This window comes from Homo sapiens, chromosome 2 (assembly GCF_000001405.40).
Source record: "Homo sapiens chromosome 2, GRCh38.p14 Primary Assembly".
Classification (NCBI taxonomy): Eukaryota; Metazoa; Chordata; class Mammalia; order Primates; family Hominidae; genus Homo; species Homo sapiens.
In genome coordinates this window covers 1,837,753-1,861,068 of record NC_000002.12, presented here as the reverse complement: position 1 = coordinate 1,861,068, position 23,316 = coordinate 1,837,753, and the positions used below count along the sequence as shown (strand labels likewise).

General features: G+C 48.2%; 1 protein-coding gene and 1 long non-coding RNA gene across 31 annotated transcripts in view, besides 4 other annotated features; one reads left to right on the top strand and one right to left on the bottom strand.

Annotated features, from left to right (window-relative positions):
* The window catches only part of MYT1L (myelin transcription factor 1 like), a 542,163-nt gene that overhangs the window by 470,207 nt on the left and 48,640 nt on the right, over positions 1-23,316 (top strand). For all 29 annotated transcript variants that reach the window (NM_015025.4, NM_001303052.2, XM_011510326.2 and 26 more), the window contains 3 exons: positions 9,366-9,428; positions 20,226-20,309; positions 21,699-21,920. In NM_015025.4, coding sequence (NP_055840.2) covers positions 9,366-9,428; positions 20,226-20,309; positions 21,699-21,920 — 369 coding nt within the window. The remainder of the gene's footprint in view (positions 1-9,365; positions 9,429-20,225; positions 20,310-21,698; positions 21,921-23,316) is intronic.
* Positions 9,405-18,086, bottom strand: LOC107985838 (uncharacterized). 2 transcript variants are annotated; one of them, XR_007086191.1, is made up of 4 exons: positions 17,997-18,086; positions 17,670-17,810; positions 16,534-16,623; positions 9,405-9,471 (listed from the first exon to the last, which is right to left on the bottom strand). It is a non-coding gene; the product is annotated as an uncharacterized LOC107985838 (long non-coding RNA). The 2 variants fall into 2 exon arrangements; XR_007086190.1 differs by lacking the exon at positions 9,405-9,471 and adding an exon at positions 9,587-9,707.
* Positions 16,654-17,307: an enhancer, noted in NCBI's record as "H3K4me1 hESC enhancer chr2:1847534-1848187 (GRCh37/hg19 assembly coordinates)". NCBI's record gives its function as "activates a minimal SCP1, AML or CMV promoter by ChIP-STARR-seq in naive H9 embryonic stem cells {active_cell/tissue: H9 hESC(naive)}" and the evidence as "EXISTENCE:reporter gene assay evidence [ECO:0000049][PMID:30033119]".
* Positions 17,308-17,962: an enhancer, noted in NCBI's record as "H3K4me1 hESC enhancer chr2:1846879-1847533 (GRCh37/hg19 assembly coordinates)". NCBI's record gives its function as "activates a minimal SCP1, AML or CMV promoter by ChIP-STARR-seq in naive H9 embryonic stem cells {active_cell/tissue: H9 hESC(naive)}" and the evidence as "EXISTENCE:reporter gene assay evidence [ECO:0000049][PMID:30033119]".
* Positions 18,617-19,271: an enhancer, noted in NCBI's record as "H3K4me1 hESC enhancer chr2:1845570-1846224 (GRCh37/hg19 assembly coordinates)". NCBI's record gives its function as "activates a minimal SCP1, AML or CMV promoter by ChIP-STARR-seq in primed H9 embryonic stem cells {active_cell/tissue: H9 hESC(primed)}" and the evidence as "EXISTENCE:reporter gene assay evidence [ECO:0000049][PMID:30033119]".
* Positions 21,873-22,374: an enhancer, noted in NCBI's record as "H3K4me1 hESC enhancer chr2:1842467-1842968 (GRCh37/hg19 assembly coordinates)". NCBI's record gives its function as "activates a minimal SCP1, AML or CMV promoter by ChIP-STARR-seq in primed H9 embryonic stem cells {active_cell/tissue: H9 hESC(primed)}" and the evidence as "EXISTENCE:reporter gene assay evidence [ECO:0000049][PMID:30033119]".

Here is a 23,316-nt window from a genome sequence, read left to right as displayed (position 1 = left end):
GAGTTTTTGGCCATTGTCGCCGCTTCCCTCTGTGCCCTCTGGGGCTAGGAGTGAGTGTGTGTGCACAAGTGTGTGTGTGTGTGAGGTGAGCAGTGGTGGTGCTGGCCATGAGCGTGGTCGCCGTGGTGGTGCTGGATCCTCCGTCTTAGTCTCACAGGCAATCCAGTGGGTTCTTGGTGTTGGAAAATTGGTGCTGTCGAGGCAGTAGCCCTTGCAAAGAACCGCTCCCAGCCCCCACCATTAACCCTCCAGGATGAATGACTCCTCATCCCACAGCGGGTTCCTTACCCTAAGGGACAAACAGTCCTTGCCTCTGAGAGTGATAAGGACAAAGGACTGTTTGTGAAAGCATCTCCAGACCATCTAATAATGGCCGTGTTGAGAGTAAGGTAGAGATGCTCAGTCTTACACATCTCATCCCGGATCCCACCGCCCGAAAGGAATTCCCTGCAACAAGCTGCATAAAATGTATTTTAAAACATGTTTTTACTACATGTAAATGGCATTAGCTGCCTTAGGGCTCCGTGTAATCAACTCAAGGTGAGTACCTCTCTTGCGACCCCAGGCCCCAGCATCCCAGCCCTGAGTGAGGTCCCTTTGCATGTGGAATTGGGGGCCCCACCTGCATCCCGAGCGTGTGGTTTGAATGCGTCAGGCCCTGGATGAAACTCACTCTTCCACGCGAGGGCGAGAGGCTGGGGTGGCGTTTCTGTTGCCTTGCGTCAGCTGCACCAGTCACCTTTTGTATTTTTTTTTTGCATGGGTCCTCCGAGTCCAACCCCAATACTGGCTCCGGCGGCCCCAGCCTCTTGCTTAGCCGCTCCACTGCTGCTGGACGTGCATGTGCTCTGGCAGCAGTTCCCATGGACACATCCCGTTAAGTGAATGGGACGTCAGGATGTGCTAGGTACGTTCTGCCGCACTGGACAGGAGCCTATTGCTGGATGTACTTGGGGCGCCTTTCGGCCCTGCAGCGGTTCGCAGTGTTGGCAACGAGGGCAGCATGATCAACACAGAGGGATAAGTGAAGAGTCCTAGGCTGCATGGTCGGGAAACAGACAAACTGCATGCAGCATGGACAGTGACGCTGCCGTGGCAGCCCCTGGGTGCTCCCCAAACAGCCAAACCGCAGCGAGAGAATCCCCAGAAAACAAGCCCAGGAGTGGAGACAGACCTGTCACCAGCGCGGCCCGGGTCCCCTTTCCCAGAGCCCCTCTCATCCGGCGCGCTGTCCCCAACGCTGGGGCAGCATGCGTGCGTCCTCCAGGGTATCAGGGCACCAGGGCCAGGGGGCAGGGCGGCTGGATGGGACGTGGTGCAGGTGAGAGGCTGACCCAGTGCTAATATAGGCACTGGAGCCGCAAGCCACGGTGTAAATCCCCTGGCCAATATTCCTGCTGTCAGCGGGTGATACCATCTGCATGTCATCCAGATAAACTTAGGTGTGTTCTGGTTACTACAGTTATTGGGCATCATACAACTAATAATGCTTCTTCACTCGCCCAGTTGCTATTTTGCCAGCCATAACTTCACAGTTCTTGCACACTCTCAGCCACAAGGCCCTACAACCAGAACTTTGGTGTTTCATTTGCATGATGACCCTTGCACGTTCTGAGCAACCTGGGGCCTAGCCCATTCCAAAATCTCATCTGCGTCATGAAAAAGAAATTTTTAAAAAATTATGATAAGGGTACTTTTAAAATTATTTCCCATGTATTTTTTGTTATTTTCTAGTGTAATTTAAAAAGAAAAGTGCTGGGAACCAAAAGAAAGAAAGGTGTTTTTTGTTTACAGGTTACATATATCAGAAAGCAAGCATTCCACCTAAATGCCACAAATATAGGCAAGTCTACTTCACACTTTGAAATGTGTAGGTTTTCCTAATACTGGAATATCCTAGACATCATTTTGTAAAAAACCCTCACCTGACTTTCAGGAAACCAAGCCGAATGGGAGACCCTCTAAGAATCTCAGGGACAAAGCCTCCCGGGAGACCCAGAGTGGCTGAAGCTTAGTGACAAGAGCACCCTCCCCCAGGCTGTCAGGGTGTGTGTGCAGCACTCTTGCAGTATCTGGTACTTCCAAGTAGCAGGCATGCCGCCGCACCCTTTCCTAATGAGAGGCTTTGGGAAAGGGAATTCGGAGAGGGCACCGGGCAGGGAGGCTGAGGTGCCTATGGGGGAGGCAGCAGAGACTCCACCCGGGAGAAGGTAGCAAAAGGTGGCTTGGAAAATATCAACGCCCCATGCGGGATCTTGCACTGCTGTATTAGCGTGGGAGAAAGTGCAAAATACGCATACTTCACATGGAATTCCAAAAGAAGACAAAATCACTGAATGTCTTACAAACTGCAGAGTGATTTACAAGAATTGCCTTTCCGTGAATTTTAGGAAATCTCTTTAAGAAATTGGCCAGAAGTGATACAGGATAGTTGTTTCCCAGCATCCCTGGGGGGTTGGTTCCAGGACCCCTGAGGATACCAAATCCAAGGGGGCTCCTGTCCCTGCTACCAGCTGCACACATCCTCTCATGCATTTTAACTTTCTCTGGATTACATACAATTCTTAATACAAAGTAAAGGCTATTGATGGAGTTGTTATAGCGTATTTTTAAAATTTGTATTATTTTTATTGTTTTTTATCATTTTTCTCTGAATATTTTTGATCTTTCATTGGTTGAATCTGAGGATGTGGAGCAGTCGGATGCAGAGGATCAGCTCTGAACTGCTTACTCCTAAGTAGCCTGGTCTCTTTCTGTTTGGAAAGAAAGTTGCAGCAGTGCAGACTAAAAATGGGTATCGAGCCTTTTTCTCCTATTTGAAATGTCTTTATTTTGCCTTTCTCTACATTTCTTTATTGTTTCCCATTTATATGACAACAAGAATCAAAATTAAAAAATATATTTAGGCTGTGTGTGGTGGCTTACGCCCATAATCCCAGCACTTTGGGAGGCCAAGGCGGGCAGATTACTTGAGGTCAGGAGTTTGAGACCAGCCTGGCCCACATGGCGAAACCCCTGTCTCTACAAAAATACAAAAGATTAGCTGGGTATGGTGGTGCATGCCCGTAATCCCAGCTGCTGGGAAGGCTGAGACAGGAGAATCACTTGAACCTGGGAGGAGGAGGTTGCAGTGAGCCGAGATTGCACCACTGTACTCCAGCCTGGGCAACAGAGTGAGACTCTGTCTCAAATTAAAAAAAAAAAAATAGTAATATGTATTTTAAAAAATTTTTTTTACCATGTCTCTGGTGCTTCGGAGCAATACATATTTTTAGAACCAGATCTGTTTAGGTGAAAAACAAGTTTTAAAATTGAAATTTCCATGTAAGTGGGGCAAAGGCTTATTCACGTGGCCAGAATCATTCTGATTTACAAATATGTTTTTCTCCTATAGGTAAGGCCTGATTATACATTTTTGTTATTTTGTTTTAATTCGGGGGATAAAGAAAAAAATCTATTTTTTCATATTTTGTGTTTTACTACTTAAGTCTCCATGATAGAGCTACCATGAAACAAAGGAATGAAAAAAGACACATGAAAGGGGCTTTCTGAGAAATTCTTAGAAGAACTCAAAGTCTCTCCATCTGACATTTGCATTATTACTCCAAATATTCAATGTTGTTCTGTACATTTTAGCTGCTGAGCTCAAAATCCGGGGAGCCTTTGAGGAATGACTCAATTAGATGAGGGCAGCCTCAGAGATCATTAATCCAGACAGAGCTGAAACATTCTGGGAGTCCTTTTAGCCTTCATTTAGAAGACTTTTAAAAAAAATAAATAAGTAGTTAACTCAATCAAGATGAGAGATTGTGCGTCTCTTCCAGGTAGTTCTCCCTTTAGACTGATTTGGAGATAGATGATGGTGGACCCACTGGGTCTTGGCCCGCAGTCATGCTCCTGTAAGATGCTGAGTCACGCTGGGAGGACTCCCAGGCCCTGATGACTGGCTGGGTCTTGCCTCGTGTTCATGCTCCTGTGAAACACTGAGTCAGGCTGGGAGGACTCCCAGGCCCTGCCTCCCAGGCCTGTGGCCTCTGAGCCTCCGCGTGCACTTGCTCTGCAGGTGATGGTGGGAGGTTGTCCTCACTGACTCTGGGTGTTCAACACGTGTGTCTAACAAAAGCATGTGGCAGCTTGTCCTGACCCCTGGACAATGAATGTCTGTGCTGTGGGCTCTTTCCTGGCCTCTGTCTCCAGGAGTCTCTGCCTTGTTTTCTAACAGCATTGATGTAAAGTGGGTTTAGGCAGTAAAATGTGCTGTACTGTGAGCATCCATTTAACTAGAGGCAGCCCTATCCTGAAGAGCATGTCGTGCTTTCAATGCCTTGCTTAGTAGAACTGCAAGCATTTATTTAATTTCCATACTATTTCCTTTTGAAAGAGAGAGGATGGGATGATAGACCCTAGAGGGAGCACTTTCAAGACATTCGTATGAATAACTGGCTACAATACAGCCTCAGTCGGTAGACACAGCTGTTTCATGTACACCACCCTGCTTCAGGTTATGGTTTTGTAAATGGGAGGGAATCCGCACAGCAATGGGTTTATGTCCTGGGAAGGACACATCAGAGGGCATCTGAAAAGCCAGTTGGTGAGCGTCCCAGCTGCGTGATGTGCACCAATGGAAAACAATATGATTTTTTTATGATGATGTATTCTAATGCCTAGATTTCGAGCTCTTCTTTTATGTTAGCCGACACATCTTATGACCTCCATGGACGTGTGGTCAATGCCGCTTCTTACACAGGCTCACAGAGATTGTTTCTTTGGTGGTGAATAGTAAAGACAAGGCCAGGAGCACAAAGGGGACAAGGGGTCAAGTCCAAGGGTTCCTCAGATGCCTCAGATCTGCAAAAGCAACAGGAACAGATGTTTCTACCTGACAAGGGCTCTTGCCTTAAAGTCAGAGTTCCAAATGCTTCTGAGCGTCCCTGTCTTTTACTTTTTGTTTTCTTGTTGTTGCTTGGGTGGTTTTGTTTTGTTTTGTTTTGTTTTTTTAGAATTCGCCTGAATTCTGCACGTTGGCTGTAATGTAAATACTGCTTAAAATATTTTATTATGATTTTTCCATCACCACTCGTAAATGTCTATACAAGACACATTTTTTCAACCAGATAGTAATATGTACAACCAAAAGTTATTTTCTCTTAATATGTACAACCAAAAGTTATTTTTTCTTCAATTCTTCTTCCTTTTTTTTTATTTTTTATTTCTCTTAAATTCTTAATCTCAGGCAAACCCATGACCAGAGATGAAGCAAGATCAGGACTATTTTTGTCTTGAAAATATCCGTGGGGCAGCTCGTGTGGGTTTCAAGATTATTTGTTCATCATCTTCTTTCTCCAGTTGTTTTTAGCAATAGTATCTTTGGAATAGAAAAGAAAATATATACATATGTATATATAACCAAGCGTTTTATTTAATGCAAGTTTACACCTTAACCATCTACAGGAACTTAAAATAGCCTTGCTGTTATTGTTCGTGGTAACTGTCAGGAAAGCAGGCGGGGCGCTAGGTGAGTGGTGCTCTTTCCAACCCCACTCTGCTCCCCAGCAGCCTGAGTGCTGCAGCGCTGAGAGCCGCAGCCTCCCTGAAAGGGAGCTGAGAGGCCGTTTCCATGGAAACCCAGTCAATCTCTTCTGCCATTTCCAAACCCAAGCTGTGCAGCACAGGCTGCCATCTGATTCTATCCACGGGGGATGCTGATTGTCCCACCTGGGCTTCCTTCGTGGAAAAGGCAATGCTCCTAGATGGGCAGATACAAATCGCGTGTTTGTAAATCGATTTCACGCCACGCCCGTGGTCGAGGATCCTGGAGCTGACTCCGTTTGAGAGGCGAAGATCCCTTTTGTTAGATGAACAGTCACTTCCCCATCCATCGACTTCAGAACATTGTATTTTTTTAATGTTGAGATTTCTTAAAGCTAGGAAATTTGTATGTAAATCTATGAGTTTTTAAAGAGCCTTAAATTCTTGAACAGTAACATAAAAATGGATACCAAGAGCGGTTGGAAGGAGGAACCCTTGAAAAGCCATTCTGGGCTGCCTTATGTGGTCTAGAAGCACCACCTAAAGACGGAAAAGCTGAATTACCACCCCCGAAAACCGGGGGCTGGTTATCTCAGGGAGACACAGCCAGTGTTTCCAGCATGTCTCTGCTCTGGGCGCTAGTGAGGACGTTGAGGGCAGCCTGAACTGTGGCGTTCACAGGAACCTATGCAGGCGGGTGGAGAGGCGTCTCAAGAGAAGGAGACGACGTCAGGCCCAGGAGGACTGTGAGCCTTCTCGGGCCAAACAGCTTCCCCACATTCATTCACGCGGCTAGCAAGTGGCACGCCTGGGATGAACGCCCCACCCGCCCAACTCGAAATCCTGGAAATGAGAACAATCCTTTTAAGAGAGAAAAGCCTCCTTCCAATGATTTTTTTCTTCCTCAGTACAGTGAAAGCTCTAAAAATGAGCTAAATCAATATAGTTTTGTTTGTTTTCATGATGAAAAAGGACATTTTAAAAACTTTTTTTACTGAAACCTAATTTGATTTTAAAATTAAGGGCATAGCACTCATCTAACCCCATTGGTGTAGACTTCAGCAGCACACTTGCTATTTTCCGTTAATCTCATAACACAGATACATTTGAGCTTGCAGTCTGCACCTGAGTAGTGCTTATTTAGCGGACTTGGGTAGAGCCCTCCATATGTATCATTAATCTCTTTACATAATCACATTTAATGATGGCCCAGTAATCTCAAAAAAAGCCCTACTTTAAAGACTAATCAATAAACAAAACAAAACTCACAGTGTTCCCCCGCCACCCTCCAAGTTAGCAGTTGTGAGTTGTATTTATACTGAGACCTAATGTTTTCAAAGTAGTTCAGGTTCTCCAACAGCCCCATCCCACCCGAGAAATGCAGCAAGAGTCATCAATTATTTTATTCTACCCTCCCAAATTTTATTAATCCAGTGTTCTTTGGATTTTTAAGATATAAATTGGGAAAGTGCTATTAATAAGCTTTTTAAAAAGGCATATTCTCCTATAACAAGAAGGACACATAAACCAAGCAATAAAAGTATTTGACAGGACATTAAGTTGCCACAGGTGCTGGTTAAAACACCTATTTTCTTATCAAACAATGGATTATACTTTCATAAATGACATTTAAACACATAAAAACTACCACAAAAACTTTTATAGGTAGTAAAAATATGATTTTCACTGAATTATTTGGCTATAATATCTCACTTTAAATTTGAGCAGAAGAGTCAACTTCCTTCTGCCCCAACAAAAAAGAACATCTCAAAAATGTTTAGCCATATTAAAATGAATAAATTTTAAATAAACATGCACTATGTACTTGAATTAGAAAGTTTAAGAATCTTTTTCTTTTCTTAAGCAAAAAGTAATACCAAGTATGTATTGGTGGCTGGTAGGAAAAATTTGTTTCTTGATACATTTTTAATACAGATACATGCACCACGATTAGCTTCTCTTGGATAGAATGATTTTTGTTGCTTTCAAATGTCTTCCTATGTAAGCATATGGGTTTGGAGTTTACCCACATAAGGTGTCATTTGAAAAACCAGCTAGTTAAGTTCAGTCATTTATTTTTTAGACAATAATTACTTAGCAACTGACTGAATAGTCTTACGATCAAACTTTAAGTATATGTGAACAGCTGTTACTTGAACAAAAATCAGGTCTAACAATTGGATTTGGAGTTGTTGCTCATGATATGCAGACGCTGTTTGAAATACCTCATCACTGTTCTGCCCCAAACTCCTCTTTTAAAATCCCCAGTTCCCCTTAGGCTGAAGAGCAGTGATGGGAGCACACAGAAGAACCCTTTACTGCTTCTTCACTCAGTGACCCTCTCATTCTCCCCGGGAGCAGGTCATAAATTAGACTTTTCCTCTAATATGATGTGGAAAACATCCACTTCTATACCCTGAGATCTAGAGTTCTGTTCCCTTTCTTAGGACTAAAGGAGAGTACTGAAAACCATTTACACATCCAAGTATCAAAATGTGACATTCATACACTTAAAATTCGGCCAATGTCATGTGTTCCCACTCTAATCCCTGCCATTCTCCTCTGATCTTGAGAAAGCCCACCTGTAAGCAAGCACTTTGCCGTCCTGGTCTCAGCCCCCAGTACCCTATCCATAGTGACTTTCTGAGTGGAAAGCAAATTGAAATCTCTAGGAGCAGTAGACATGTATTAAAATATTTTTAAATTGTGATTCTTGATCTTGACAAGAATTCGGGTACTCACTGAGGTGGGAAGGGGCATGGAGTATGCTTTGATGCTTCCTACTAGGTGTAATATTGCTCACTAAGTTGCTTTCTCCTTGTCATTTTTGGAGAATTACAAATGTAATGGAAATAAAGGGAATTTTTTCTTAATTTTTACATTCATGGTGGGCGCAAATGCAACTGAAATAGCTCAAAGTGAAAATGTGTTTGCGGTGTGATCTCATTATTCTTGAGACAGCATAGTTAAGAAGTTGATCTCATTATTCTTGAGACAGCATAGTTAAGAAGTTATATGGAGGGCAATATAATTATAAAGCTCTTTTTCTTAAAAAAAGTCTCTGATTAGAGAAATAGCAAGACCTTAATTAAGAAACGGGATGGGGTTGCCTCGGTAGGCTTCAGCAGATGAGTGTATGTCCCCATGAACTGTTCAGAGCCTCTCCACTGACTGACCTGGTGGATCTGAACTGATTTATGTTCTTCATGTCGCTCAAGAGTAACAACTATTTTAAGGTCTATCAAACCTGCCTGAGTGCACAGTGGTCATCGGAAAGACAGTCGGCCTGCATTCCCATGGTCCAGATGCGGGTCGATACCCTCACTGCTCCCTGGGACCACCCAGGCTGGCCGCAGCCCTGGCCAGTCTGTGGAAGGGGTGCCTTTGCAGTGCTGGGGTCTGAGTTCAGACTAAAACCATTCTCTCAGACCCCAGGGCATGTCTGTTCATGTGTGAGCCTTGCTTCCCACGTGGGCTGGTGCAGTAACAAGCCCTGTGGTTGCTGGCTCTGCTGAGCTTTAAGAATGAGGGGAGGAAAGGCGGGCTGTTAGGAGGGAATACAGGTTCTAGAATGAGCAGCCTAGGGACCAAAAGTGCGGCATCTGCTCCAGAGACTGTGGGGAGCGGAGCAGCCACGAAGCTCCCGGTGCTCTGGAAGGTGTGTGTGTGGTCATGGTGACTTCCAGCTCCATGAGGGAGCTTCCGGCTCCACTCAGCCTCTTTCAAGTAGGAAGTGAAGCAATAGAGTTAGTTTGCTTTTTGGATTAAAAAAAAGTTAATTGTTCAGGGAACTTTATTTCTTTCCATTTTAACACAATTTGCATTTTTTATTGTAGGTGCCCCACGCCTGGCTGTGATGGTTCTGGACATATCACCGGCAATTATGCTTCTCATCGGAGGTATGTAGAGATGCTACTCTTCTCTCCAAAATGCTCTTTCTCACTGAAATGGCAGGAATATCACTCACGTCAGGCTCCAAGCCTTGCGAAGTTTGACACCATGGGCAAAATTAAGGATCTAGAGACTCTTAGCGCCATAAAGCAGTGACGTCCTCATTGGAGCTTCTCTTAGAAAGCAAACCTTCCTTTTCCAGGGCCACTGGCTCCTCTCAGGACATCTCACATGCAGTGCAAGTGGCCCCACTGAGAAACATTCCACCTATCCAGCTGCACTTCTTTCTAAATTGGAAGAGTAAAGGCAAAAGAACAGTATCTACTATAAGATCCCTGAGAAAAGCCATCAAGAGACACACATTCTAATGCCACTGAGAGTTGGTCTCTTAAATATTAAGATTGGACCACAAAGCTGTACAGTTATTCTAAGCAGAATGTAACATTAAGAAGCACTTAATGTTACAAAGTCTAGGCACTGTCTCTCCCAAAAAGAAGGTACTGTCTAAAATATAATATAGAGATTTCATCATGTGAGATAACAAAAATTCTATACCACTTGACATTCAGTAACTACTGGATTAACATGGAATTTAGGACAGGCACTATTTAGCCGAGAATGGAAAGAAATTGTGGTACTATTCGAGAAAAAATTTACCACTTGTTAAAGATGGTACACCAGACTATTCAAGCGGGGTGGGCAGGGCAAGAGGTCCAGGCGCCATGCAATGAGCTCCTGTAGTCGGGGAGACTGGACTCAGCTCAAACCCTAATGAGGACAAGTGGGGATTTACAACCAAGGAGCAGATTGGGGTCAGTGGATGGAAAATTCCCCACGGGAAGCACCAAGGAGAAGGGATTTCTGGCCAGACGGACTTGATGGGATCATTGCTGTCATTGCTGATGGCCGGCCAGGGTGGTAGGATATCCAAATGCTCCGACACTGATGGTGGGGAATTGTTCTTAAACTGAGTTAGCAGGATTCTTGCTCAAACTGGATCCTACAAGCACAGAGAGGGAAGCCAAGGTCGGGTGCATTCTAGTAAAGGACCCAGAGGAGCTCAACTAAAGTTTTGGTCAAGAAGAAAACCTTTGTGAACATATCGTCCACACAAAGGCGAATCCACTACATGCTGTGAATGGTGAAGTCATGTTTAGATGTACCAACAGCCAATGCTGAGGTAAAGACAAGAATGTTTCTGAAATAAGACCGATTTAAAGTGAAGTCTCCCTGTATGGGAAACAGTGCTGCATCTATCAAATAAACGAAGTTGTAAGGTAGCTGCTCCCTTTCAGCTCTCTAAATTTTAGCTTATAAAGTACGCAGTCCAGACGCAGATGAGGCCTCCTGCTTTTAACATACTGCTTGCAATAAAAAAGAAAGAGAGAAAAGACAGGGAAGGAAGGAAGGAAGGAAGGAAGGAAGGAAGGAAGGAAGGAAGGAAGGAAGGAAGGAAGGAAGGAAGGGGGAGGGGGAGGGGAAGGGAAGGGAAGGGGAAGGAAAGGGAAGGAGGGAGGGGCAGGAGGGAAGGGAGCGAGGGAAGGGAAGGAGAGAGGGAGATAAAGGAAGCTAGGAGAGTTAAAGACACTGTCAGCAGTGGATAATGGCCCCCCCCTCACCACCCCGCCCCCTAGAGCACGGTTGTCTGTACAGAGTAGCTGAGTGAAACCTGCTATCTGTCCCTGAGTGACCAGATCCCAACAGTCAGAGTGGGGGACCCTCACCTGACTGGCTGGCGTTTTGGATTAGAAACAGAACTCACAGGATGATTGTTTTGTCATTAAAATCTCACTGAAGGTAACTCGCTCCTGTGCTCACATCCCAGCCATTTGAGAGCTATGTTTAAACAGCACGTGTCTATGAAAAGCACACATTGTGAATGCCACCAAAGAAAAATGAAGCATGCAACTTGTGGGAGGATTCTCCAGACTCCGTGCCAACGTTGCAAGCTCTTCACCCAGATTCCTCAGCCTCTGCAGTGCTGGCAAGTGGGGGCAGATGGCTGTTTGCCGTGGGGGCCGTCCTCCGCACCGTGGGACCTGTGCGGCACCCCTGGGCCTCACCCACCAGATGCCAGGAGCATCCACCCCTTCGTGACAACCAAAGATGCCTGCAGTCACTGCTGAGTGTCCCCTGGGGGGACCACTGCCACAGACCCAGGGCAGCAGAGGGCTTATGACATTGATGTGGCTTCACCAGGCAGCACAGAAACAGCCACCACATTTGGTAGAACACGAGTGAGTCGCGCCGTCCAACAAGATTGCCAGAATTAAATCACTGGTTTAGATTAAAAAAAAATTTGTAAAACTCCAATTAAATATACAAAGACAAGAACATTCCATGCTGGTGTTTATTTCATCTTAGAAAAGCGATGTCTTGGTCCTCTCACGTGGCCAGAGCTTCCGGCATGGCGTAATGTCAGCACCCCGTAAGGTGAACACTTCCTGGTCACTTTGTGTCCAAATGTCTGTTTTTCTGATTTTTTTTTTTTTTTGGTGGGAGTTGGCATCATGTAAATTTAGTCCTCATGTGGGTTAAACATTTTATTCATTTTACATATATCTTAGACTGTTAAGTCTTAATATAGCACAAACCCATGATTAAAATCTAAGCTCAAATTTAAGCTACCATCTATGCCTGGAGTAAATGATCCCAGGGTTAAGTCAATGGAGTTGGAAAGTAAGTGTGATTTGTGTTTGACAAATCTGAGACCTAGACAGAGCCCTCTCGGGGTTTTAGCGTACTGAAGGTGGAGCACCTTGTGACGTTACTTGTTCTAGTAACAGCTTCCCTAGTATAGACATCTAAGCGGGGCTGGGCACGTTGCTCAGCAGAAGTGTTGCCTCCACGTGACAGTCCTTACATAAAGCCCCCGCTAAAGGAAGATGGAGGCCCCAGCAAAACAAGTGCAGTTCTGTGTAAATGAGCTGCTGCAGACAGACAGAAGCCAACAAGCAAACAAGGAAACTCTTAAAGGTCTGTTGGCTCTTGGTGGCCAGAAATGCAAGTAGGAGGAACTTCTTTTCATGTTAATCTTCTATTGTCTGTTTCCCAGGAACAGGAAGATAATGTTACCTATAGGCAAACGCCACTTAGACGATGATTCACTGGCCTTCTTTTTCCCTCAGTTATGCCACAATTCAAGGTAGTTGTGTGGGTTCAAGGCATCCTCCTCCTGTACTGTGGGCTGTTGTGAGAGGGGAAGTCACCAAACAATGATCCTGAACCTGTTCAGAGCACAGATCCGCCTCGCGCACCTGTGGTGTCTGGAATTCTCCCTCCTGCTCCCAGGACAAACGCCTCGCGCTTCCGTGGTGTCTGGAATTCTTCCTCCTGCTCCCAGGACAAATGCCTCGCGCTTCCGTGGTGTCTGTAGAATTCTCCCTCCTGCTCCCAGGACAAAGGCACACACTCCAATTCTGTCTGCAGTTGCAGAGCATTCCCAGCTCCCATCTGAGAGAAAACTGAGGCCAAGCCCCAGCCTTCTCCTGGGCCCATTCTGGGAAACTGGGTGAGGAGCTGTCCTCCACCATCTCCACAGATGCGCTGAGAATTAGCGATTTCATTAACTTTTGAATTTGAGGAAACTGAGGGGCCAGGAGATTCAGTAGCAGAGCTGCAACTGGAGCCCATGTCGTCTGACTCCGAGTCCCACCTCCTGGCAGCCCCATGAGCCTAGGATGGCCCTGGAGGAAGTAGGTGTGCCTAAACCACCTAGAGAAGGTGGGGTTGTACCTGCCTCTTAGCGGTGGTGTTTTCTGGCCTCCACATAGCATCTAAAACGTCCCTAAGTCCATTTCAACAAATGTTTATTGGCTGTGATGTTCTATCAAACAATCCTCTATCCGCTGCTTTGCCGACTCTCCGTCCTCAGTGAACAGAGGCCCTGTTGACCAAATGCCTACAAAGGCTTCCATGTCATTCACAGTCATCCATGGGGCTCCTCTTTATACTCTTGTTTTCAAACTAACAGACTGTTTCTTAAGTGTGTCCTCAAAATCCTGTTTTCCAGACCCCTTTGCTCTTTTTTCCGACCCCCCAGGCCCACTTCTTCACCTGTAGTCTCCCTTTGCTCTTTTCTCCGACCCCCAGGCCTTCTCCTTCACCTGTAGTCTCCAGGTCCCGCCAGACAGGCCTGCCCAGGGGTGCTCCTCATTCTCTCTGCGCAGCCGTCCCACATGCGTTTTTCATAGGATCAGGCAAGCAGCAAGAGCTCCAAGGGCCCTGGAGTTGTTCCAATGCAGAAGTCAAGTCCACATTTTCCACAAATGATGATGCTCCAGGAATCCGACTCCCACTAGAACACCCTGTGGCCTCTACGGTTCCCGAATGGCCTCTAATCACAAAAGAACATTCACTGGGCACCTGCTATGTACCAGAAATTACAGTGAGTATTTTACATCTATAATCTCACCATCCTATGAGATTATTGGTATCCTGACTGCAAATGAAGATGCGCGGGCACAGAGATGCTCAGCTGCCCGTCTTGTCAGCGCCTGTGCTCACCTGGAGCACTTCCACTCTGCTCTTTTACAATAATGCGCAAAATCGAAGCCTCCAGCATGGCAGTCAAACGGCCAGACAGTGTCTACCTATGCCACTCCAGTGTGCTGTGGGGACTTTCAACAGGGATCCCAAAGGCCTTACCTGCTGTGAAATGGAGACATCACCAGGTCCTGAAGAAGACAGTGAAGAAACAGGCTTGATGTCATGCAGAAGAGCCAGGAGCAAGTCTGCCTTGGAGAGTCTCAGGTCCCGCTGCCAAAATCCGGAGAGGTGGCTCCTCACCAGGGGGCCTTGGGAACCTTGTAAGGTGGTGCTTGTCCAACCCTGTCAGTATCTGCCCTCACACAGGGTGCAAAGCTGTTTAGTCAGAGGGTCCGGAGGGTCACAGGATCCATTCTCATGCGGGGCATAGAGCTGTTTCGCCAGAGGGTCAGTGAGGTCTGTGCTCTGCCCCTGGGCTCCGGGCCGGACACCCACCCTAGCACCACTTTGGCCTGGGGGCCACGAGGTACACTGCCCTTGACCACATGTCTCCCGGGATCCCAAATCCTCCAGTTTCTCATAATCCTGCACTCACCTGTTGTTGGCCCTTTCTCGCTGGAGCTGTCCGTATGCTCTGTCCGTGTGCTCACCCCCAGCCTTTCCCTCCCCCAGAGAACACAGAGCTCTCCCTTACAGCGTTTCCATCGTTTACAAAGTTCCAGATAAAGATGTGGACATATGACAAGCCCCTGTGAATTGTGGAAAACAGTTTCTGTCTAGGAAATTATTAATCATTTAAACATAATCCCAAATGCCAGCGTGGAATTCCAGAAACCTAGTAAATTAGTAAATACCTATTTGAGTACGTAGTCTGTCCCCGAGGCTAAGGAACAGTGATAACTAAGGTGTTCCTAGCCTCGAGGTACAGGTAATTATGAGGAAAGACATAAAAGCTAACCAGCCTGGCGCACTCTCACGCATTCCTGCACAATTAAGGGAAACTGAGATGGGTTCCAGGAGGGCGCACCTCAGGGCAGTGGCCTTGAGGCCTCCAGGTCGGGATGGCACTAGGGTGGGAATCTGACCTGAAAGATACTTTTCAAATATGTATGTACTTATCAAAGCCTAAAGATAATGAGTAAGTCATGTCTGAATTCTGACAAGGCAGGGTGGGTTGGAGCCCAGGAGAGAGGAGGCGACGCTGAGCCACTGCATGAGGGATGGTGAGGGTCTCTAGGAGGTCATGCAGAGAAGGATATTCCAAGCAAAGGACCAGTATTACAGAACGTCTTATAACACCAACATCAATGCACATTTGACAGTGAATAATTCAGTTTGGCAACAGTTTCAGGTCTAAGCCTATGGGAGCAGCTACAAACGGAACTTGCTTTAGGAGTCCCGTTGAATTCAGTATAAGGGGGTAAAATTTTATTTGCTGGAAAACGGGTATTCACCCAAGTGCAGGCTTAGCTTTTAGCCTAGACAGCGGGCTGCTGAGAGACGGCAGGTGTCAAAAGCGCACTTGGATGGTGACAGTGGCAGCCGAGAGAAGAGCTGGTGCAGGTGAGGAGAGCAGCAATGGGGCCGTGACCAGCAGGGCCAGGAGTGGGAGGGGCCCCTGGGGAAGAAGGCAGGCGCTAAAGAGGGAGGGCCTGGGATGCAGCAAGCAGCCGGGGGACATCATCATCCGGTATAAAGAAGCCCACCAGGAGGAGTGGGCCTTAGATTCTGTCTAAACACATTAACTTTGGGATTCTTATGATATATTCAGGTGAGCAAAGGAGGAAGGTGAGAGGAGAAAAACAGCTTCCAGAGTCACCAGCAGATGAGCTGTTCCAACTCATTCACGAAAAGAAAACGACACTTTTAAAAATGGAAGATGGTGGCTGGGTGCGGTGGTAGCTCACGCCTGTAATCCCAGCACTGTGGAAGTCTGAGGCAGGCAGATCGCTTGAGGCCAGGAGTTCGAGATCAGCTAACATGATGAAACGTCATCTCTACTAAAAATACAAAAATTATCCAGGTGTAGTAGTGCAAGTCTGTAATCCCAGCTACTCAGGAGGCCGAGGCAGGAGAATCGTTTGAATCTGGGAGGCGGAGGCTTCAGCGAGCCAAGGTCATGCCCCTGCACTCCAGCCTGGGCAGCAGAGCGAGAGACTCTGTCTCAAAAAAAAAAAAAAAAAGGAAGATGGATCCAAATCCTAAGAAATGAACTGTGGATGTGAGCCCTGAGCAGAGCATGGAGCTGTAGCTCCAATGCCCAGGAAAGGAGGGATTGCTCCCCTCCCTCCAGGGCTCGGGAAGGGCCTGCAAATGAACCCCTATGTTTCTAAAATTTGGAAGGAGAAGACGAGGGGGAGCGACTTTTTGTTAGGTTCAAATCTGGGCCCTAAAGAAGGGATCACAAGTGCAGATAAAGGTGAAAGTCAGGATCTAAAATCACAGAGCTCCTTCTCTGTGCCCAGCATTGTATGTATCATGTTATCACTTCCAGTTTTCACAGCCGATGATGCAGGTATTTCTGCCCCAAAATACAGACAAGGAAGCCGAAGCACAGACACTCGGGCCAGGTCTGCACAGCCTATACATAGCATCGCCTCTTCCTTCTCTCCCTTGGCGCAATACCTGGAAGTGGCCGCTCAGATCCTTCTCACAAATAGTCATTCTGTAGAGAATCTCCACTCTGGGGTCCATAGCAAGTACTGGCTTTCCATCCTATGTTATAAGCCAAAAAGGGAAGTTTTAAATACTGAACAAGTTCTAATTCCATTGCTCCTAGAGTTCTAGTGCTTAGTTGGTGGGTAGGGAAACGTTCCCTTGTTTTCATCAAGCATGAAAAGTAGCAAGAAGTAAGCAGTATAAAGGTTCCAGCCATGCATTAAGATGCTACAGTGAGAACAGGGTGCTGCGGGGGGCCCTGGACTCCTGGGGGTGTTCAGTGCTGAAGGGGAAGCTAGGTCCTGCTGTGCTAGGGATGGAACAGAGGCCCTGGGCTACGGCGTGTGGAAGAGAGGACCCCGTGGGGCACAGGTGCCGAGCTGCCCACCAAGTGAGTGGGGGCAGGTAAAGACCACACCCCTCCAAGCACAGGCTTCTCACAGGTGCCCTGGGCTAGTGCCCCAGAAGAGACCACAGGGCCTCTTCTCACCAACAGACATGGCTTTCAGATGAGAGCTCCTGAGCCCCAGAGCAGGCATTCTAGGAGTCTAGAGCAGCCCTGTGCCAAGGCCAAGGCTTCCTGGAGGCCACCGCATTGTCGGAGCCAAATCTTGTTGCAGATTTGTTCTGTTTGGTTTAGTTTTGCCCCCAGCCCAGGCCTCCATGGTGGCCCAGAGCTGTCCCTGGCTCCCAAGTCCACAGGGAGTGACTCAGGGACAGGGCAGGGGGCAGGGCCTACAGGAGCTCGGCCTCTGTGGTGGAGTCAGGGGCTCGGCTTCCCCCACAGCAATCCTACATCTGGGGAGATGGGATCCTGGGTAGGACTCCGTAATTCTCCCTGGGTAAGACACTTTAATTCTCCCTGGGTAGGATACCGTAATTCTCCCTAGGAAGGACACCATAGTAATTCTCCCTGGGTAGGATACCGCAGTAACTCTCCCTGGGTAGGACTCCGTAATTCTCCCTGGGTAAGACACTTTAATTCTCCCTGGGTAGGATATCGTAATTCTCCCTAGGAAGGACACCGTAATTCTCCCTGGGTAGGACATCATAGTAATTCTCCCTGGGTAGGATACCGTAGTAACTCTCCCTGGGTAGGATACCGTAATTCCCCCCTTGGTTCCTCTTTTCTTCATTCATGCATTGAATGACCCGCTCTGTGCAAGGCGTCGGGCTAGGAATTGGGGAACCGCAGAGGAACACTCGCATGGTTTACACTCCCAGGCATCGCCTCTCAGAGGAGCCTGTAGAGGAGAGAACCGTGTGAGCCTGCAGCGGCCGCACTGTGAGGACAGCCAGGCCCAGGCTTCTTGCAGGATGCAGAGGCCACGCAGCTGGGAACGAGCCACAGACAAGGCAGGGACATCGGCCAGCCCGAAGGATGGCGGCAAGGGTTGCAGGGAGAGCCCAGCGAGGATGGCGGGGCCTACGAGTCGCGTGGAAGAACTCGGGTCCCCCTGAGGAAGCGGAGAGCCTCGGATGATGCTAAAGCGCTGGCCTGGAGGTGTTCCCAGCCCGGGGGCCGGTACTAGCACCGCGCGCCTGGAAGCGGAAGCGCCTGGAAGCGGAAGCGCCTGGAAGCGGAAGCGCCTGGAAGCGGAAGCGCCTGGAAGCGGAAGCGCCTGGAAGCGGAAGCTGGACAGACGAGGAGAGGCCTTGGGTGTGACATCAACGGAACCTGAGGGAAGCAAAACTCAGCAAGGACGCACCCGGTCTGCTGGACTGGGGCTTTGGGTTGGTGACGTGGACGATGAGTCTAATTTTGGGGCATCCGCGCAGTTGTGCAGCGGTCAGTGGGGTGCAGGGGTGGACGTGAGGTCAACCCACGCCGGCCTCAGAGCCCCAGCGACCTGCAGGCAGGTCAGGAGCCAGAGGGTGGGGCGGGGGCGGAGGAGGCCAAGGGAGGAAGGAAAGGTCGGGGGAAGCACAGGCGGGCCCCTCTTTCCAGATTCCCTCCTTTAAGAGGGCGGGGAGAAGAAAGGCCCCAGCAGGCAGCGAGCTCAGGTGCCCTCGCCTCGCCGCCTCTTTCCTCTTCCTGTGAAGAGCGAGACAGGGGAAGGAGCAGGAGGATTCCCCGCTGGCTCCAGGAGGTGGGGCAGCAGGGGCCTGGGAGTGAAGGCGCTGTGGGGCCCTGACAACCTCCTTTCTGCCCAGACACGAAACCCGAACCTTCCCGAACCTTCCCACACCCGCCTGTGCTGAGGTGCTGCCCCCACCTGAACAGGGAGGAGGATGGCCAAGGCCTGGGAGGCAGGATGGAGCCTCCCTTTAGGGGAGTGAGCACTTCCTCCTGGGAATCTGCGTGTTTCCAAGAATCAGAACTGACCAAGAAAACTATCCCCGAGCTCAGGAAAGCCAGGGAGAAGAGTGGCCTCCCACCTGGACCCACCCGTGTGCCAGCGCCGGGCCCGCGATTTCCACAAGACCCAATAGCATGGCAGGAGATTGCCCAATTTCTGGTTCTTCAATTCTTTTCCAAAAATCCCATTTGTTTTATGTATTATTTTATGTGATGTGTATGTGTGTGTATGTTTCTGTTCCAGCTGAAAAAATTCCCTTTACAAACATGTCCAAAGCCTCTGTACCCAAGAGGTTGAAAATTAAATAAAATAGGCGTGTCCAGCTCCCACTCTCCCGTCTGCAGGCACAACCCGAAGCCTGGAATAAGTCACTAGCCCATCACTGTCTCCCAAGACACGAACCTGAGATGGAAGTGCTTGGGAAGCTGCTGTGAGAGACAGAGTACCCAAGAATGGGGCTGGGAGGCTGCTTTTTTCTGCCATGTTCACCCCCGACATGCACGCATCCGTGTGCGCTCGCTCCCGCGCTCTCTGTCAACAAAACCTCCCCCAGCGTCTTTCCTGGTGACTCCCGACTGCTTCTGCTCCCTCCCGGTGGACCAGTTTCTCTCCCGTTCACAGCATCCTAGCCCACCCCAGTCTCCCAACTTTCTTGAAAGGGGACTGACGGTGCCTAGAGCCTTGGAGAGGACACAGGGAAAGAACTCTCCTCCTGAATTTTGACTTTGTGCCCAGAAGCACAGGTTTTGGAGAGAATCAAGTCACAGCCTCGTCGGTTAAGAAAGCTCACTGGGGCGGATTACGAGGTCAGGAGATCGAGACCATCCTGGCTAACACGATGAAACCCCGTCTCTACTAAAAAATACAAAAAATTAGCCGGGCGTGGTGGCGGGCGCCTATAGTCCCAGCTACTTGGGAGGCTGAGGCAGGAGAATGGTGTGAACCCAGGAGGTGGAGCTTGCAGTGAGCTGAGATCGCACCACTGCACTCCAGCCTGGGCGACAGAGCAAGACTCTGTCTCAAAAAAAAAAAAAAAAAAAGAGGCCGAGGTGGGCAAATCACGAGGTCAGGAGATCGAGACCATCCTGGCTAACACGGTGAAACCCCGTCTCTACTAAAAAATACAAAAAAATTAGCCAGGCGTGGTGGTGGCCGCCTGTAGTCCCAGCTACTTGGGAGGCTGAGGCAGGAGAATGGCGTGAACCCGGGAGGCGGAGCTTGCAGTGAGCCGAGATCACACCACTGCACTTCAGCCTGGGTGACAGAGTGAGACTCTGTCTCAAAAAAAAAAAAAAAAAGAAAGAAAGCTCACTGAAATCAACGGTGTGGGGTGCTTTCTGAAATGTGTTTCTTATTTAGCCTTTCAGGTTGCCCAAGAGCAAAGAAAAGTGGTATCAGGATAGCACAGAGCAAAGAAGATAAAGAAGATCAAGAACCCATCAGGTATGAGCACCAGTGGGGCTGAGAACCATAGCAGGGCTGCCATGTGGGGACGAGGCATTCAAGCAAAGCAAGTATATGTCAACAAGAAAAAGAGACAGCGGGTCTTAGTGGCCATTCTTTGAGATTTCCACAAATGCAAGGTCAGATAACTTAGACCCAAACCAAAGCACATCTGCTGATTGGCTGAAAAGTTACATGGGCTGTCCAGCAATAAGCTGATATCCATCAATCTGAGGTTCCATGTAACCCAAATCCCCAAAAACAAGCCTTCCCTCTCCTCTTGGTGGGAAAAGCAGCTGAATTCTTGGGAATGGCAGATTGGTGAATGCTCCTGAAGGTACTAAATACAACATCACAAGCGGATGTTTCACTGGTATTCTGGCTTATAAAAATAGTTTAGTTATACCCTGCCTTGCTCTAAGGCAGGGCTTGGGGCTGCAGTGGACACTGAGCTTGGAGCCTGTGACTACCGCTGGGCTGCCCAAGGGGGTGTTTGTCCCCATCCCACGCCAGCCATGCCTGGGCCCCAAAAACCCACACAGTAAGCCTCACTTCACATCCCCAGAAAAAAGTTTTAATTAAAACAAAATAAAAATGAATTAAAGCATAAATTATTCAAATAAATTAAGATTTGTCAAAATAAATAGGTAATGCAAATTCTGAGGAATGCAAACTTTTCTGTTAATAAAAACAATGCAGGCAAACTCACTGCTCAGGACACATGAGGAGCGCTTAGGCCAGGCCCTGCCTCCTTCAGGCGCCTTTGCTGCCCTGGTGTGTGTCTTGGTCCTGCCATTCACAAGTTCCCAGGAACACACCTGTCCCGTGTCCCTGTGTCAGCCCGATTCCAGGAGACTTCATGAGACGTCTCTGCAGCTTAGGATCTTCTCTAGCTGGAAGGGCATTTTAAGGCCTCCAGAAGATACGGCCAGACAAATAAATGTCTTCTAGCTCTTGAGAAAAGCACGAAACAGCCTCTTTAAAAATAATGCCACGACATCTTATTGACGTTGCATTTTTTCCACCTGAAAAGCCATGGTTCTGTCCCAAAGTGGTATCTTTTAAACACACGCTTGTGTAGCTGCATGTGCCTGCGTGGTCTTTTGTGTGCTGAACCCATCAGTCCCACCAGGCACATACACTTTGTTCCAGAAAATCCTTCCATCTGCAATGGGTCAGGCCTTCTGCGCAGGGGAAACAGTTCAGTGTTCCACTAGGTGGTGTCTTTTAGTGACTTTTCTTTCTTTCTCTTTTTTCTTTTCCTTTTGCCCAGCCAGGAGGGCATGGTTGTTTTTTTCTTCTTCATGCCGGGTTATTCTGACTTTGTTACAGAAGCCACCAGGCGACGGTGGCCAGACAATAAAGTGTGTCACCTCTGCCTGCCTACAGGTGTCCGGTCCCCGGGTGCGACGGCCAGGGCCACATCACTGGGAAGTACGCGTCCCATCGCAGCGCCTCCGGGTGCCCCTTGGCGGCCAAGAGGCAGAAAGACGGGTACCTGAATGGCTCCCAGTTCTCCTGGAAGTCGGTCAAGACGGAAGGCATGTCCTGCCCCACGCCAGGATGCGACGGCTCAGGCCACGTCAGCGGCAGCTTCCTCACACACCGCAGGTGAGTGGCCGCGTCTGCGGGACCCTGGCTGGGATGGTGCCGCCGAGAGCCGACTGGCACGGCTGGTTATGACGGCAGCAGGTGCCAGCTTCTCCCGTCACCTGTGTTTAGAAAGAAAAGGCTGAAAACTATCGTACCAACCTAACAAAATTCAAGGGTTTGGGGACAGTGTTGAAACATCTTAAACTTACATTAGGGAGCCCAGCCTCCCTCAGCCCCATCTATAGATGACCACAGCAGTTTTCCGTTTTTGAAACTAGAATCCACAGTAAGATATAGATTTTCATTTAAGACATGCACATGAGGGTCTTTAGATGTAGTTACTTATTTCACCCGAAATTCACAGGCAGGCGTCATTGGGGGAAAGAGGATGGCATTTGGCACGGTGGCTCCTGGTGAATGCCTGCACCAAAGATGCATGAGAACATTCCCAAAAAACCCCATCAACCTCATTCATTTTTGTTTGCTTCATTTAAAAAGAAATACATGCAGTTAGATTATCTTAGGAGAGGCCCGTTCTGTGCAGTCAGATTGTGCAGTCGGTCCCTCTGCGGGGAGTGAAGACCTGGGATGGGACCCGTCTCCAAGGCTGACGGCACCCATTACACTCAGCGTCCCTCAGCTTCCTTGAGGAGGTGGAGGGGAAGATACACACATCACATGTACGATGTGAAGGCCATACCCTTTGGGGAGATTTACAATGGTTTCCTTTCTGCTGCCCTATATGCCACTTTCTACGAAAATCACACCTGCGCCTCAAATCCATCTCAAACACAGAATGAACAAAGGGGTATGCAGATTACAGGAATAATGGCATGTTCAGTAATAGGTGACTCTGACCCTTAAATGTTAAGGAAGATTTTTTTTAATTATTAAAGAAATTCCTGCTCAGGTAGAAAATTCAAACAATGTAAATGGGTTTAAAGAGAAAAATTGGCCGGGCACAGTGGCTCACACCTGTAATCCCAGCACTTTGAGAGGCCGAGGTGGGCAGATCACCTGAGGTCAGGAGTTTGAGACCAGCCTGGCCAACATGGTGAAACCCCATCTCTGCTAAAAATACAAAAATTAGCTGGGCGTGGTGGTGCACGCGCCTGTAATCCCAGCTACTCGGGAGGCTGAGGCAGGATAATCACTTGAACCCAGGGGGCGGAGGTTGCAGTGAGCCAAGATTGCACCACTGCACTCCAGCCTGGGTGACAGAGCAACACTCTGTCTCATTAAAAACAAACAAACAAACAAAAGACAAAAAAAAAAAAGAGAGAGAGAAATTGAATGTCCTTTCCCCGACCTAATCCCTTCTCAAAGGCAGGCAGTTCCCGTCTTCTCTGGAACTGAAAAGCACCCCTATTTATACACATGGATCTCAGTGTCTCCCAGAACCCAGCATGAGGAC